Below are 16981 nucleotides of genomic sequence, written 5' to 3' on the forward strand. Positions count from 1 at the left end.
CCTATGCTGTTACTCCAGTGGAGTTTATCTCAGTGTTTTCTCTGTGGGAGGCTGTTAGCATGGTGACTAAGAGCTAGGATCTGAAGTCAAGCAGATCTGAGTTTAAATTCCAGTTTTGCCGTTTACTAGCTGTGTACCTTTGGAGAAGTCACTCAGTCTGTCTCAGCTTCTATTCAATTGTGACTAGGATCAATAATACCTACTTTCACATAGTTACTGTAATGATTAAAATGAAATAATTATATAATAAAATTAAATAACACATGGCCCATCCTAGGGGCTCAATAAAGGGTAGTTAATATAAACATTTTTTATCCTAGGCAACACTACCACCTTGACTTCAACACTCAGAGAGACAATTTCTGAAACCAGCCTTTTGCTTGTAGTGGGTGCCAATCTCTGCACTACTGTGGATGTTTCTGCAGCAAAGGATAATGTCTTGAGACCCTAACTACTCAGGTGGATTGTGGGACTTAATGTGCTTCCTAGACCCAGCAGAGTCAGATGTACCAGGAAAATTCTAAAAGCCCTAGCAGAGGGAGAAAAGAAGCTTTCTTAACTCAGAGGGAGTTTCCACTTAATGCCGACAGCTACTCTTAGGTGTGAGTGGCGGCTCAGAGGCTGCAGGGGAGGCAATGCTAAGCATAGTTAGAGCAAAAAGGCTGGGCCTTTCTCCAAAGTCCCTAAGAGATGGAGAGAAGAGGAATTACTGGCCTACCCAGCCCTAAAGTACACACATGAGGAGCAGATACATTGTTCAAAGGCTGAACCTGTTTTTTTAAAAAAATGATGTCTGGTGTGAATGACTTTGATAGCAGCCAGGAACAGGAAGTAGAGTGGCAGCTGCACAGATGAATCCCCGAGAACTGAGTTTTTCCTGTAGCAGGAACCAGATCTGGGCAGATTAAATCTTGCTCTCTCTGAAACACCTTGGGGAGACTTGTTCCCAGAGTGAAGAATGGGGCATTCTCTTAGCTGACAGAAGGGGCACATGGCCATCCCGAGAGGTGAGTGTTGGGGAACAAATGAGGTTATCTTGGAACTGGCATTCCAGGAAGTCTAGAAAGTGTCCTGAGCAAATAAAATACACTTGTGGACTGGAAGGAGACCTCTGATTTTACAACATGTGAGGAGACTCCAGAATACAAAGCAAAGAGAGAGAGAGCAAGCTGAGAAAAAAGAGGGAGAGCAAAAGTGTCAAGAGAACACACTTGATGTGGAGCAGTTAAGAAGAAAGAGGCCAGAGGACTGTACCCATGCTGTTGCACAGAGCACTTACCACCTGACCAGGAGCCACTGACACCAACCCCTGCCATCTGTTGCCATTTCTCTGGCTGTCATGCACCTGGTGGTACAGAGGTACTCTGTATGTGTCAGCCATGGCCTCAAACACAGATGAGTTCCATTTTCCTGTCCATGGAAAATATGCGTAGCTAATCTTCCAAAGAACTTTACATTTCAAAGCTCCTATGTCTAACTTATGAATCTGCTCTTAATCATTACCCATAGCTTGAGAACTGTCACCCTAACCCAACTTTAAGAGATGTTTATCTGTGTCACTAAAGACATCAATTCTCATAAATGGTGCGGAGATGCATATAGATATATGTCTATATATAGCAGGTTACCAAGTAGAATGTGCAGTGTGTAATCTTAACCATGAAAAAAAAATGCTCAAGAAAAAAAGACTAGAAAGTTAGCTTATAGGAGTTATATTCACTTCCTTCTCGATACCTGATACGTACTATAGTTTCCAAATTTTTAGAAGTGAAGAGATTACTTTTAGAATCTGTTTCTTTCTTTCTTTCTTTCTTTCTTTCTTTCTTTCTTTCTTTCTTTCTTTCTCTCAATATGTTTTATATGTAAGTTTCAAAGAAAAAAAGAAATTTCCCACAGCTGCCAAAGCCACATTTCCCTTCAAAGCAAGATGAACAGCCAAGAACTCCTTTCTCTGGGCCATGGATGGGTAGAAGGGTGGTGGGATTGGCAATGACCATCTATTTCTTAAACAGTGGCCTTGAAGGCCATGATGAGCAACAGGCTTCTTGGAAGAAAGGTGTGATATTAATTCAGGGCTTCCTAAATTATATTTTAATTTCATAATAGAAACAATACGCGTAGAGTTTCAAAAACACATTCTCACACTTTTCAAAGCAAGTGTCAAATTACTAAGATAACCTGGGTTTTAATCTCTTCTATTACACATTATTAGTACCGCTAGACTATCAATTTAATTTGGCATATATTTGCTACTTATTATTTACAAGGCAGTTTGCAGAAATGCAAAGCTGAACTTTAATCCAGTGGAAGGGAAAATACAGGTAGATACATAACAATATCACAAGTCAATATATACAATAAATTTGGCAAAAGGCAGTAAAAATGCTGTAGGATTAGTATAATAACTTTTTATACTTTCTGAATCCTTTGTAGTCAATATGAGAATTATAAATATAACAATTTGAACTTTCTAAGCAGTCAGTTGAGTATTTGATGACTAAAAAACTCCCTGGTCAGAAGGCTGAGGCCAGGAGGATTGCTTGAACCCAAGAGGCGGAGGTTGCAGTGAGCTGAGATTGAGCCACTGCACTCCAGCCTGGGTGACAGAGTAAGACTCCATCTCAAAAGAAAAAATAATAAAATAAAATAAAATTTACTGGGTCAATTAAGATTTTCAATGAGCAGCATTTCTTTTATTCTGTTTAATTTTTAGAATTGTGTCTCTGAGAGACTATGATGATTATTTGGAGCTGCTATAAGAAGTTTAACTATCTCCTTGATTTGTTAACATTTTCTTTTCAGTAGATGTGCTCACAGAGATTATTTAGCTTTGGTTCTGTATTTTGGAACATTTTTTCTATGCGAAGCTTTTCCTGCTAAATATGCTTAAACCTTTATTTCACAATTTACGGAAGGTCTGACACCTTCCCCAGTGTTATTGCCAAGTGCCTGGGTGTGTGTTCTGACTCTGCCATTTGCCACTCTGACACCACTTCACTTTTCTGAGCCTCTATTTAACAACAGGACTTGAGTAGTTTGAAATAGTCCATACCATCATTATTTACTTTGGTTTGGTGGAAACTGGAAGCAGTGATGGTGCCTTAACTGGGGCATTTTTTTAAAAGACACTAACAGGTAACCATTTCCATTTCTATAAGCTCTTGGAGCTCCCTGCTGCATCCCACATGGCACCAGGCTACTGACAACCTTGCTCTCTCCTCTCTCCATATTTCTCCCATTTTCCTTCTCATCCTTACCCCTTCCCTTCTTGATGGTCTGAAGAACTCCAAACTCTTCTATTATGAAGAACAATTCCATTTCTTGAACCCTTTCACAAACTCAATTTTGGGTTTACCTTAGCAAAACCAAACCCATTGTGCTACTTAACAGAAGAAAAAAATTCAAATGTAGGATCAGGCATTCATAAAACATAGTTGTGGGAGGAAAATAGCAACTTTTATTCTGCATGGGTGAAAGTTGTTAAGTAAACATTGTCAGTGTTATGCGATCTTCAGCTCTGAGTGCGACAAGGGTCTCTGAAGTTTTCTAATATTTGAATAACAGCAGCAGCATTATAATGTGACAGTGAATGATGGCCTCCCAACTTTTATTCCTCCTGGGCAATTAATTTTTAAAGAATCTGATTCCTTGTACTAAATCTCTTTCTGCTTGAAATACCCAAGGTGCTTTCTGTTTTCCTGCACTGAGCACTTATGATACAAATGAGGGAGTGAAGGCTCAGGTAGCTTAAGTCACTTGCTCAAAGGTCACATAACTTAGAAATGGTAGGTCTATTTGACATCAAAGCCCACACTGCTCTTCAACTCTGTATGTTTCTTAATTATGTTTTTCAGACATGGCTATACTTTTCAAGTAAAATTTACTTATAGTTACCAAGTACAAGTAAAATTATTTCAAGGAAGCAAGGGATAGACATGAAATTTATTTAAAAATAAAACATAATTCCCATGAAGGAATTCTTATCTATGAACGCCTTTGAATTACAAGTGAAAGAAATTCCGTTTAAACTAACGTCTACATGAACAGAAACTTATTGCCACCCGCACAAAGATATATTGTTGCATGACTGTAAAGGGTATATGTAGCTAGATTATGAATGATTGATGCAGAGCATTCTGAGATTATCACTTTATACCTTCCCTCCAATTTTTTTCTGATGTCAGCTCTATTCTCTCAGACCAATTTCTTCAAGTTGTGGACAACATGCTACAAGTGGCTAAAAACCTATATGCTTACAATTCTATAACTAGAAAGGAAGGCTATTTTTCCTAATAGCTCCAAATAGAGAAAATCTGGAGAAGCACCCTACTTGCCCCATCTTGTGTCCCATGTTCATCCCTTGACCAACTTCTGTGGCCGAGGTGATAAAGTTATCTAAGAATATAGCAGTTCCTATTCAGATCACGTGGCCACAGAAGATAGAATTCCCCCAAACAAGTGGAGTAACACAGACAATGACAATGGAGAATCATCTTAGCCTGAGTCCTCCAAACGCCAGAGTCTTGCATTCAGGTAGTTTATTTAAGAAGTATTCTAAGGAGGAGGAGTGAGAGTCTGGAGGAGTAAAATAGGGAAGGAAAAACAAAAAACAATTTAATGATGCATTATTGATTTGGCAGCCACTATGGACAACTGTTGCTCAATCCCACCAAGACCTTCTGAGGATCTAACTTATGAGATGCATCTTAAAATTGCCCATCTGAGTGAAGAGAGAGAAAAGCATTTCTCCACTGGCTTCCAACCATATTGGGCAAGCTTTGCCCCATGACTGTAACTATCTTACATTTCCATTTGGCTCATGGGTGGCAAGTGGCTTCCTATTGGTATCGCACACTTCATCATTAAAGTATCTCCAGGGCAGGAAGCAACAATTATAGAATGTAGTAGGCCCAGATAAAATATTATCAGATTATTTTTGTGCAAAACTATTCAAAGCCTGTCCAAAACTGGTTACTACAGTGATGCCTAAGAGGGCTGGAGAGGATATAAATTCATGCATTGTTGGGAACAGGCCCCCACATCTGGCCATAAACTGGCCCCAAAACTGGCCATAAACAAAATCTCTGCAGTGCTGTGACATGTTCATGAGGCCATGACATCCATGCTGAAGGTTGTGGGTTTACTGGAATGAGGGCAAGGAACACCTGGCCCACCCAGGGCAGAAAACTGCTTGAAGGCGTTCCTGAACCACAAACAATAGCATGAGCGATCTGTGCCTTGAGGACATGTTCCTGCTGCAGATAACTAGCCAGACCCCTCCCTTTGTTTCGGCCCATCCCTTTGTTTCCCATAAGGAATACTTCTAGTTAATCCATAATCTATAGAAACAATGTTTATCACTGGCTTGCTGTCAGTAACTATGTGGGTAAATCTCTGTTCCGGCCTCTCAGCTCTGAAGGCTGTGAGTTCCCTGATTTCCCACTCCACATGCTATATTTCTGTGTGTGTGTCTTTAATTCTTCTAGTGCCCCTGGGTTAGGGTGTCCCCGACTGAGCTGGTCTTGGCAATGCATAAAAAGTGGTCTAATAAATTCCACTCCCTTCACTGCTATAGTCCTTATGGCTGCAGCGCATATGTCTTTCTAAAGCCTCTAGAATATTTGCTACTTCCTGTGCATCGGGTCCAATTAGCATGATATTATTAATATGATAGATCACAGTTATAGTCTGTAGAATGTCAAGATAGCCAAGATCTCTGCAGACTATATTGTGACAGAGAGCAAGAGTGTTAATAAAAACCTGGGGTAAAATGGCAAATATGTACTGCCTTTCTTTCTATGTATAAATGAACTCCTTTGGTCCTTACTGATGGAAATTAAGAAAGAGCAAACTCACCAGATCAATAGCAGCATTCCAAGTGCCAAAGGCAGTCTTGTTCTCTTCTAGAAGACACCATATCTGATGTGGCAGACCTGATTTAAGCCATCACTTGGTTAAATTCACCCTCATTACCATGGTCCATAGAGTTCCTGTAGGGGTCACGTGGGTAATTAGTTGAGAATATAATGGATATCAATGCTCCTGCACTTATTAATTTTTTTTATTTTTATTTATTTATTTATTTTTGTGAGACAGACTCTCGTTCTGTCACCCAGGCTGGAGTATAGTGGTGTGACCTGGGCTCACTGCAACCTCTGCCCCCTGGGTTCAAGCAATTCTCCTGCCTCAGCCTCTTGAGTAGCTGGGATTATAGGTGCACGCTGCCAAGCCCAGCTAATTTTTGTATTTTTAGTAGAGATGGGGTTTCACCACGTTGGGTAGGCTGGTCTCGAACTCCTGGCCTAGGGTGATCCACCCACCCCGGCATCCCAAAGTGCTGGGATTACAGGTGTGTGCCATGGCACCCAGCCCACTCCTGCACTTTTAAAGTGTTTAATGGTGCTGCTAATCTCTGCAATTCCTCCCATATGTGTTATTACTTAGACATATTAACTTGGCTGAGGGGAAGGACAGTTGCAAGTGTCTTACCATGATGGCTCTTACTCTGTAGGCTGGAGAAAAATATGAAGGTTCTGCCAGTTAGTAACTATCCATATCCCGACAGCACATTCAGAAACCAGAGAAATAGCCAAAGGTTAGATCTAACAGATCCCCTAAACCGATTATGAGACATACTTGAGCTAAAATTGCATCTATCACTTGGCTTCTCTATGCCCCCATTCTAACTGGAGCATAATAAAGGTATTTCAGGTCCCTTGATTCAGAATCAATACAGAGCCACGTTCCTCATATACAACATTTCTTGAAAAGTCTGAGGATTTTCTTTTTGCAGGTTCACAGTTACGCTGATAAATAGTCTTAGATCCTTTTGGGGAATATTTATCATATATCCTTGCAGTAGTATTGCAAAATCCTTCCTCAGGTTACCCATCTCTTGTTCAATGAGTGGGCTCCAGGTCTGTGAAATGACTTATCTGGAAAGTGGGTGAGGAAAATCTGTTTTTCTGAAGTGAAAACTGGTAAATGTTTCTGTTCACCAGCTCTTGATGTATTCTTTTTATTATATTAGGTTGGTGCAAAAGTGATTGCTGGTTTTGGCCATTATTTTTAATGTAATCACTTTTGCACCAACCTAGTAAGAGTAAGTAACATTTTGGTTGACTCTCTGTCGCCCTCGTCAGAATGCCCTGACTTGTCAGCCATTGCTGCAGATTCTTCAGGGTCAAGGCATATTGAATCCTACTCTAGCCTTGCAGTAGCTGTCATAGCAGCTATGTCCACATCACTCTAACAGGCCTGCCATTTGACCTCTTCCATTCCAGGTCCTGTCATCCCCTTGATACTAGGAATCTCAATTCCATGGCAATATCTTCTGTCAAGCCCAGCCTATGTAAGACAGTTATCACAAAGTGCTCAAATAATGAGTGCTCCTTAGCACTGCACTCCTCATTGCTTTCATGAAAGAGGTGTCCTCTGGATCCTCCTAGGAAACATTGTCAAGTGCCAGCTTCTCTGATCACACATAATACATTCATTCTAATATTTTTACCTCCTTGAATCTTTGGACCCTTTCCTCAAAAAAAAGTTACAAAGTTACATCCTGTGCAAACATCTGATTGGTTGCAGAAAGAGACCAATCAGAGGTTGAAGTGAAGTTACAAAGTTATACTGCTATGCAAATGAAGACTTGGCTCACAACCAGCCTGATTTGTTGTGGGAGGAGACCAATCAGAGGTTCTTTCAATTTTTCATCTGCCACACAGAAAACGGTGGGGGAGGGAGTGGTTGCAAAGGGAGTGGCCTTTGGTCCTTTCGTTACTTGAGCATGGAAAGTTGGGGTTTTTTCTTTAGATTTAGTTCTAGGAAGTCAGTGTGACTTGGCCTTAGGTTCTTTGCCTTCAGACCCTATTCTCCTGCCTCTGTGGTAATTAATGCTATTTAAAAACATTTCTGTTTCTCCTCTGAAGCATATGATAGAATTCTTCTTCTCTTTCTTAAACTCAACCATGGCTTTAGCCAATAGGATGCATGTGGAAATGACATGTGTTCGTTCCCAGTGGAAGCCTTTAAAAGCCAATGCACAGTCTGCCATGGATTTCCCTCCTGCAACAGTGACCTGAAAAGCTGCAGATGAAGCTCCATCAGCCTGAGTCCTTGTGTGAGGATCATGCAGAATGGTGCCTACAGTAGGTCAACAAAAAACACATGACATGAGCAAGAAATTATGTGTGTTGTGTTAGGTCAGTGAGATTTTGAAGTTGTTTATTACTGCAGCACAGCCCTAGTCTATCCTGTTAGACATTTTGCTTTACTTTTTGAAGCATTCTATCCATCTTACCTTAAAATGATTGCTTGTTATACGGGTGATCTGATGTTGACATCTGCCATCCCATTGATCACCAGAGGGCATGTGATTGTACCTTCCCTCTCTTCCTTTTCCGTAAATACATCTTTCCCAATGATGCGGGTTCAATGGAAGAGGGTAGTTCTCTCAGAAGAGGACCATTTTTTTTAATCAAAGTGAAGAAAACAACTGTGCCTTCTGCTAAAATCTGAAAACAAAGCAAATATGGGTCTTTATAGAGAGATTTGTGACCTTTTTTTAAAGAAAAGAGTCTGTCTAGAAAAGTCTTATTGTAGGCTGGGCGTGGTGGCTCATGCCTGTAATCCCTGCACTTTGGGAGGCTGAGGCAGGCAGATCACGAGGTCAAGAGATGGAGACTATCCTGGCCAACATGGTAAAACCCCGTCTCTGCTAAAAATACAAAAATTAGCTGGTTGTGGTGGCGCGCACCTGTAATCCCAGCTACTCGGGAGGCTGAGGCAGGAGAATCACTTGAACCCAGGAGGCAGAGATTGCAGTGAGCCGAGATCACACCACTCCAGCCTGGTGACAGATCGAGACTCCATCTCAAAAAAATAAATAAATAAATAAAAAGAAGAAGAAAGAAAGAAAGAAAAGTCTTATTGTAGATGGTTGTAATGAGTCCTTGACTAAAGAACTCAAAGAATAGAATGCTTAGCACAATCTCTGGCACATAATGGATATTCATAACATACTTATTCAGAAAGAGAAAGAGTAAAGTGGAAGAGAAAGAGGAGGAGAAAGGGGGAAGAGAGAGGGAGAAGGAGGAAGATCCGAAAGAGATTGAAAGAAGACTGTGGGTTGGGCATGGTAGCTCACCCTTGTAATCCCAGCACTTTGGGAGGCTGAGGTAGGTGAATCACCTGAAGTCAGGAGTTCAAGACCAGCCTGGTCAAGGTGGTAAAACCCCGTCTCGACTAAAAATACAAAAATTAGCCAGGCTTGGTGGTGCATGCCTGTAATCTCAGCTACCTGGGAGGCTGAGGCAGGAGAATCGCTTGAACCTGGGAGGAGGAGGTTGCAGTGAGCTGAGATCATGCCACTGCACTCCACCCTGGGCAACAGAGTGAGACTCTGTCTCAAAAAAAGAAAGAAAAGAAAAGAAAGAAAGAAGATTGCGACTGAAGACACACACACACACAAAGTCAAATTCAGTTGAATATATATATTCAGTAAGAATAATTTAAGTTTCAGAAAGAAGGGTATATCCAGGTTGGCATTATTTTAATCAACCAAGAGACCTATTATAGCATCTATATCTGACAGAGATCTTTCCAATACGATTGATCCATAAAGTCATAAGGCCCATGTGGCAGGGAAATTTGCCCTGCAGCCTGAACCTGATGTAGAGCCTTTTCTTGCTCTGGACACCACTCAAAACTGAATGCCTTGTGTCTCACTTGCTTACAGGATCAGAGAAGGATGCTCAAAGATGGTATAGGTTGCCTCTGAAATCCAAAGAGTTCTTTTCTTTGTGATAGAAGATGCCAGGTATTTTTAACTTTTGGAGCAGTTATTTTAATATGCCTCAACCATTGGACCCACAGAAACTTCACTGGTGTTTCAGACCTTTAAACTTTGTCAGAATTTTTCTTCTATTCTTTAGCATACATGTGATTTACAAAGGCAACTTAGAGTGCTTGCTTCTTACTGCTCACCAGGCACAATTAGCATAATGTAACCAATGTAATGGACCAGTATGATAATCTGTGAGACAGTAATATTATCATCCTCTGGATTCTATTATGACAGAATAGGAGAGTTGACATAGCCCTGTAATAAAACAATGGTGGTGTGCCATGCTCCTTGCCATGTAAAGGTAAACTGTTTCTGATTACCTTTGCTGATAGAAATGGAGAAAAAGCATTTTCCATGTCAGTATCTGCATACCAGGTGCCAGACTGCAAATGACATCATCACCTATTTAAACTTGCAAAAATCCACATTCATATTCCAAGGCCAGTTTGGCTTTTGCCACCAGCCCAATGGACAAGTTAAATGGGAAAATGTAGCCATTGGCAGATTTTTATTAAGGGGGAGTCTGCTTGCCTCAGAGAGCGGAGAGGAAAATGCTTGTGCTGACAAGGAATGTTCAGGGGACATGAGGATTCAAAGTTCTCAGCCCACCTCTTTTGCTGGAATGTCTCCACCACGTGTCTTAGGTTCCTACTCCTTTCCTATCGATGTTGTAACTTAGTACAAGAGACCTAAAGTGTTGTGCATTTAATTGACACTGCAGCCCAGCCAAAAGAGTTCAGTTGGGAGAGTGTTAGACTGAACATCAAAAGGACCCTTCAACTCTGCAGCATTTCCAATCAGGCTCTGTGTTTAATTTTCAATCGTGTCTATCTTGTTTCTATAGGACCTAAGAGACTCTTTTAAAAATGCAGTAGATACTTTCTGATTTCCCACCAATGCCCTGTGTCTGGCATTCAGTGCCTTACATTTGTCCTTTTCTCTAGATATGCTCTCCAGAGTTATGAGACATCCCAGGCCATGCAATCTTTGTGCTTACTGTTACCTTAGCCACTAAATGCCTTGGGTATCCTCCTGAACCTTGCTTTTCTTCTGCATTCCATTCCATAGTCTGAATAATGCTTCTCTCAATACTCCCCCTAGCAAGAGGGTTATCCATATGTTCTGTTTCCTAGAGCCATCCTACTCCCTTTTTAATTGCTTTATCAGTCAGGAGCCTGGCAGGAAAGAGAACCATGAAAGGGGGCAATTAATGAAGGTGCTGTTCACAGACATGTGACAAGATATAGGAAAACCAGAAGAGATGGTGGAGTTCCACAGGGAACTCCTCAACAGCAGGAGGCCATTACCATTTCTAAACTGGAAAGGTCAGGAGAGAGAGAGATTACTGAAACCGGTGAGAGCTGTAGTAGTAGAAGAGGACTTCCCAGCAGGAACCGTGGCCTTTGGCATAGGAATGCATAAATTATCACCAATCAAGGAGACAATCAGGGGAATAAGTCCGTCAGCCTTTTTCTGTCCTCCAATTTTCCAGTCTCTTACCAGTGCTTCCCATTGGCCAAATCCAACTGCAGACTTGGTTAATGCTATTGATAAAGGTCATGATCCTGTGGCACAGTGCAGAGTGCCAAAGAGATGGCAAATGGATCTGAAAGAGCAAGTAAAAATAGTTGGTGCAAAAGTAATTGCTGTTTTTGCCATTAAAATTAATTCTGCAGGTGTGTGTGGTTACCTGTAGTAGTTCCATTTCCATTTCCTCTATGAGACTACAGTGTGAGTGAGTGTGTGTGTGTGTGCACGCGTGTGAGAGAGAGAGAGAGACAAAGAGACACACAGAGAGACAGACAGAAAGAGAGAGACACACACACACATACACACACACAGAGACAGACAGACAGAAACACTTTCATGTTTTTGTCTCCATGGCTACTTCCTTGTTTCCTCCAATCTTTAAACCTGGAAACCAGTCCTAGCAGCACTGAAAATGGATCTCAGGTTTCTGAAGCAAATGCTAAACTCTCTCACATTATTTCTGCCTATCCTTTCCTTCTTGGTTATTGTGTGTGCTCAGCTTTAGACTCTGTGCTGTGGTTAAGAACTCAAACAATAGATTCCAATAGAACCCCAGATTCCAATCCTATTTCCTCAATTACTAGCTGTGTGAGCTTGGGCAAGTTCCTCAGTGTCTCTTAGCTTCAGTTTCCCCAGTTAGTAAAGGGGATAATAATAGTATCTATCTCATAGTGCTATTGTGAGAATAAAGTGAGATACACCACTATAAACAGAAGCTGTAATTATTATTCATTTTTCCCCTTTCACCTCTTGGACCTGACAACAAAATCTCACTTACTGAACTTTAACATTCATCATTTACTAGGACTCAGACTGCAGTTACTCTCAGGAGCTTCCAGCAAACACTTCATCCAACCTCGTTTTCTAGAATCCCCCTGCAGGGGTCACCATCAAGTCAGTGCCCGCCCAGGGATATAGGAAGCTCCTCTTCATCTTTCCTCTCGTCTGCCTCTCATTCCACAAACTGTTCCTCATGTGAATAGAAGTGTGTGTGTGTGTGTGTGTGCGCGCGCGCACGTGCGTGTGTGTTTATAGAACAATTTTATGTAAATTCTTCTTAATTTTATAGTTACATAAATATAACATTAAGTATTTCTATCTCTGAAAAATACCTGAAATTGTATTGAGTTGCTTTGTACTAATATTAAGGCTTTCCTGTGGGCCCATGGGCCTGGATGGGAATGAAATGGTTCCCTGGCCTGGAACCGCATGATCTCCGGAGGGTTATTTAAAGATATGAAAAGCAAGCTAAATGGCAAAGTAATTAGTTCTAGTCTCATGTGATTTGCAGGCTATTTTCCCAGGCTTTGCTGATAGGCCTGTGATGTTGTATTTCAAGAAAAAAAGTGTATATTCACCTATATTTCTTTATATTTAAATTTTTTTAGGATTTGTCTATTTATGCTAGTTTCTTACTTGATTTCAGGATGCAAAAATAAAGCTCTTGATTAGACACTTTTTTTTATTGTGGCACTGAAGACATTTTATCATAACCTTTTTATAAACTTGTTATTTTGAAACAATTTTAACTATTAATATATAGACAAGTTGCAGATAGTACAGAGAATCCTTGTATACCTTTCATCCAGCTTCCCCTAATGTTACCATTGTATCTAAGTATGGCACATTTATCAAACCCAAGAAATCAACACTGGTACAGCACTGCTAACTAACCACAGACTTCATTTCAATTTCCCCAGCGTTTCCACTTATGCTCTTTTTCTGCTCCAGGATCAAGTGGGATCCCACATTGCACTCAGCCGCTGTGACTCCTCAGCCTCCTCCAATCTGTGATGGTTTCTCAGTCTTTCCTTGTTGCTCATGAACTTGACACTTTTGAAGAGTACTGGTCAAGTATTTTGTAGAATATCCCTCGATTTGAGTCTATGTGATGTTTCTTCATAATTAGTTGGGGGTTATGGACTTTTTGGGAGAATGCCATGGAGATGAAGTGCTCTTCTCATTGCATCATGTCAAGGACACATGATATCAACATGTGCTCATCAATTTCTTCCTGGTGTTTTTAACCTGGATCACTTGGCTAAGGTGGTATGTGCCAGGTTTCTCTACTATAAAATTACTATTTTTTTTCCTTTCCATATTCTATTAATTAGAAACAAGTTACTAACTTCAATTAACACTCAAGGGCTAGGTAAATAAATTACACTGCTTGGAGGGAGGAATATCAAAGAATTTTTGGACAGACATTAAAATCACCACAGCATTTAATATATGTTTCAGGGAAAATATTTTGAGGCTATGCTACCATTCTGTTTCTCTTTAAAATTTCACCCAGTAATTTTAGCATTCATCCCTGAGTCTTAACCACAATAATTATTACTGAGATGTTCAAATTTTTTTATTATTATTGCACTCATTCCATCTACATTTATTCTTTGGAATGCTGGAATTTTTCTGTGAGAGTTTTTTCTTCACCCCATTTATTTATTCAATCATAATTTTTATCAGTATAGACTAATGAATTTTTATTTTATTCTTTGGGTTATAATCCAATACTATCATTATTAATTTTGTTTCAGAATTGTTCCAGGTATGGCAAATGAAAGCTCTTTTTATTTCTATATCATCTATCAATCAATCAACATGAGTTCCTACTGCTATCTTTGACCCTATTCTAGCGCCAGAGGGTTGATTCTAGCCATCCTTCTCCTGCTGACTTGTAACTTCATTTTCTGACAGTGGGAAACATGACTTGCATTATCTACAATTTATTTACTTCTGTGTTCAACCCTAATATACCTATAAAATAATATCAGAATCACTAACCTGTCAGAATTGCTAACGTGTATTCTTGTCTGAAACATAAGTAGAATACACTGATTTTATTCAGTTCTTTTTGACTGTAACCTAACAGTTTTCAGTAAAAACACTGTTTTCCAAAATTACTTAGGTCAGCTCCACCCCCACCCCCTGCGGTTTGGTATACAGTTACATTTATTTGTCATAGTCTGCATTCCATCTTGGGATTCCTGGTAGCCTGATATATTTTTTAAAACTTAGATATAGGCTGGGCACAGTGGCTCACGCCTGTAATCCCATCACTTTGGGAGGCCAAGGCGGGCAAATCATGAGGTCGGGAGTTAGAGACCAGCCTGACCAATATGGTAAAACCCTGTCTCTACTAAAAATGCAAAAAAATTAGCTGGACATAGTGGCGGGCACCTGTTATTCCAGCTACTCTGGAGGCTGAGGCAGGAGAATCACTTGAACCCAGGAGGCAGAGGATGCAGTGAGCCGAGATCATGCCATTGCACTCCAGCCCGGCGACAGACTGACAGAGTGAGACTCCGTCTCAAAAAAACAAACAAACAAAAAAAACCTGGATATAGTAAATTTCACTCTTTAGTAGTATGTAGTTGTACTCTCAAAAAAAAAACAAAACTTGGATATAGTACATTTCACTCTTCGGTAGTATGTAGTTGTACTCATATGTAGTAGCATGCAGTTCAGTGGGTTTTACAAAATGCACAAAGTCATGTACTCACCACCATGGTATCATGCAGAACAGGTCCATCACCCTAAAACTCCCTTCTACAGCCCCTTGGAGTGAATTCCTTCACCCTGCCCAACACCTTACAATAACATTTTCAAGACAGAAAGGAGATTAGCAGTCAACTTGTTCAAAAGTGTTATATTTTATAACTTTTTAGAATTTTTTAAATGTATAAAAGTAATGCACACACATTTTTGTTTAACAGTAGATAACTGTGTAATCTGAAAAACGACTCTCCCTCAGTGGTGTTCACATGTGTGAGTATGTAAGGGCTTTGTCTACTATCTCCATTGGTAAGTCCTTGCCCGGCCCAGTCTTCAACCTCTAAATCTGGAAATCTCTCAGTAGCCAATGATTCCAATACCCGTTCCCAGAGGTAACCAGTATTGACCCTTTTATTTCACACATGAGAAAGTTGAGAGCCAAAGATTAAAATTACACAGTCATTTATGAGAAAGCTTGAGGTGGAACCCAGACTCATGACTCCAAGTCCATTGTTCTTTCTACTTCCTGGTGTTTTTGTTCAAGAGCATGTGCTCAGATCAATCTGCAACCCAAATATGGCTGGGTGTGGCATGGATAACTTGTAACAATCAAAAAAACAAAACAAAACACAAACACACATCACTTCTGACCTCAGATGCCGCAGTGCTGCAGTTAGAGGGGAAAGGCATTTGTGTATTTGGGGGAGGACTCCATCCAGATAATATTTACTTTCTACGTTATGACATGGAGAGCTGTGAAATAAAACCTTCCCATTCTGGCTGCACCAGCGATTTAGTAGGGATTTGTAGAGAAGCTTGCAAACAGAAGGTCATAGCATCTGGAGGCTGAGGTGATTGGATCACTTGAGCCCAGGAGTGGGAGGTTCCTGGGTGCCACTACACTCCAGCTTTGGCTACAGAGCAAGACCCTGTCTCAAAGATTTTCTTATGGAAGTTCTTGTTTTGCAAAGATTTGATCAGTTGTAAACAGAAGCACAACATCCTAGAACAATAAAAAAGTAATTGAAGCTGGGTGGCTCCTGCCTGTAACCCCAGCACTTTGAGAGGACAAGGCGGGCAGATCACCTGAGGGTAGGAGTTCGAGACCAGCCTGGCCAAAATAGTGGAAACCCCATCTCTACTAAAAATACAAAAATGAGTCCAGCTTGGTGGCAGCTGCAACCTCAGCTACTCAGGAGGTTGAGGCAGGAGAATTGCTTGAACACAGGAGCGGAGGTTGCAATGAGCCGAGATCGCGCCACTGCACTCCAACCTGGGCAACAGAGTGAGACTCTGTCTCGAAAAAAAAAAAAAGAAAGAAAAAGGAAAGTCATTGATAAAATATGTGTCTTTGAAATTAAACTTTGAGGAACTGAAGAAAATGAGAACCTCTGGAATTTGTGTATTAGCTGTGATGACAGGAAGCACCCTCCCCTCTAGACCAGTGTGGCACTCTGAGGCAAAAGAGAGCAGGAGAACAGCAGTGCCAGCCTGACATAAGAGGTGGAGCTGCCACAGGATCAGGGGATGACACCACCCTTGTGCCTTCCAGCTGAAGGATTCACCAGCACCTAGAGAAAGAGGAGCTGCAGCTCACTGTCAAACTATAGTATGATAATAGCCGAGAATCCTTGAAATACAGCACTGATATTTAAACTTACATTATTACCACTGTGCAGTTTCACGTTTCTGAGCTGCTATGGTTTGAATGTCCCTTCCAAAACTCATGTTGAAACTTAATTCCTAGTGTGGTAGTATTGAGAAGTAGAGCCTTTAAAGGTGATTGGATTGATCATGAGGGCACTGCTCTCTTGAATGACCAATCTGTTAATGGATTCATGGATTAATGTGTTAATCAGGGGAGGGGAACTGGTGGCTAGCACGTGAGTATGCTCAGTCACCTTGCTATGTGATACCTTGTGCTATCTTGGGACTCTTCAGATTCCCCACTAGCAAGAAAGCTCTCACCAGATGTCTTCCTTTAACCTTAGAATTCCCAGCCTCCAGAATGTAAGAAATAAATTATGTTTCTTATAATTACCCAATTTCAGGTATTCTGTTATAAGCAGCCAAAAACGGATTAAGAACATGAACTAATCATTTTATTGC

General features: G+C 40.7%; 1 protein-coding gene across 1 annotated transcript in view; it reads left to right on the plus strand.

Moving 5' to 3' along the window:
* Positions 900–16981, plus strand: part of ABCD3 (ATP binding cassette subfamily D member 3) — a 133533-nt gene continuing 117451 nt past the window's right edge. Inside the window, exon 1 of the mRNA XM_047426556.1 lies at positions 900–1007. The gene's annotated coding sequence lies outside the window, so the exon portion shown is untranslated. The remainder of the gene's footprint in view (positions 1008–16981) is intronic.

This window comes from Homo sapiens, chromosome 1 (assembly GCF_000001405.40).
Source record: "Homo sapiens chromosome 1, GRCh38.p14 Primary Assembly".
Taxonomy (NCBI): domain Eukaryota; kingdom Metazoa; phylum Chordata; class Mammalia; order Primates; family Hominidae; genus Homo; species Homo sapiens.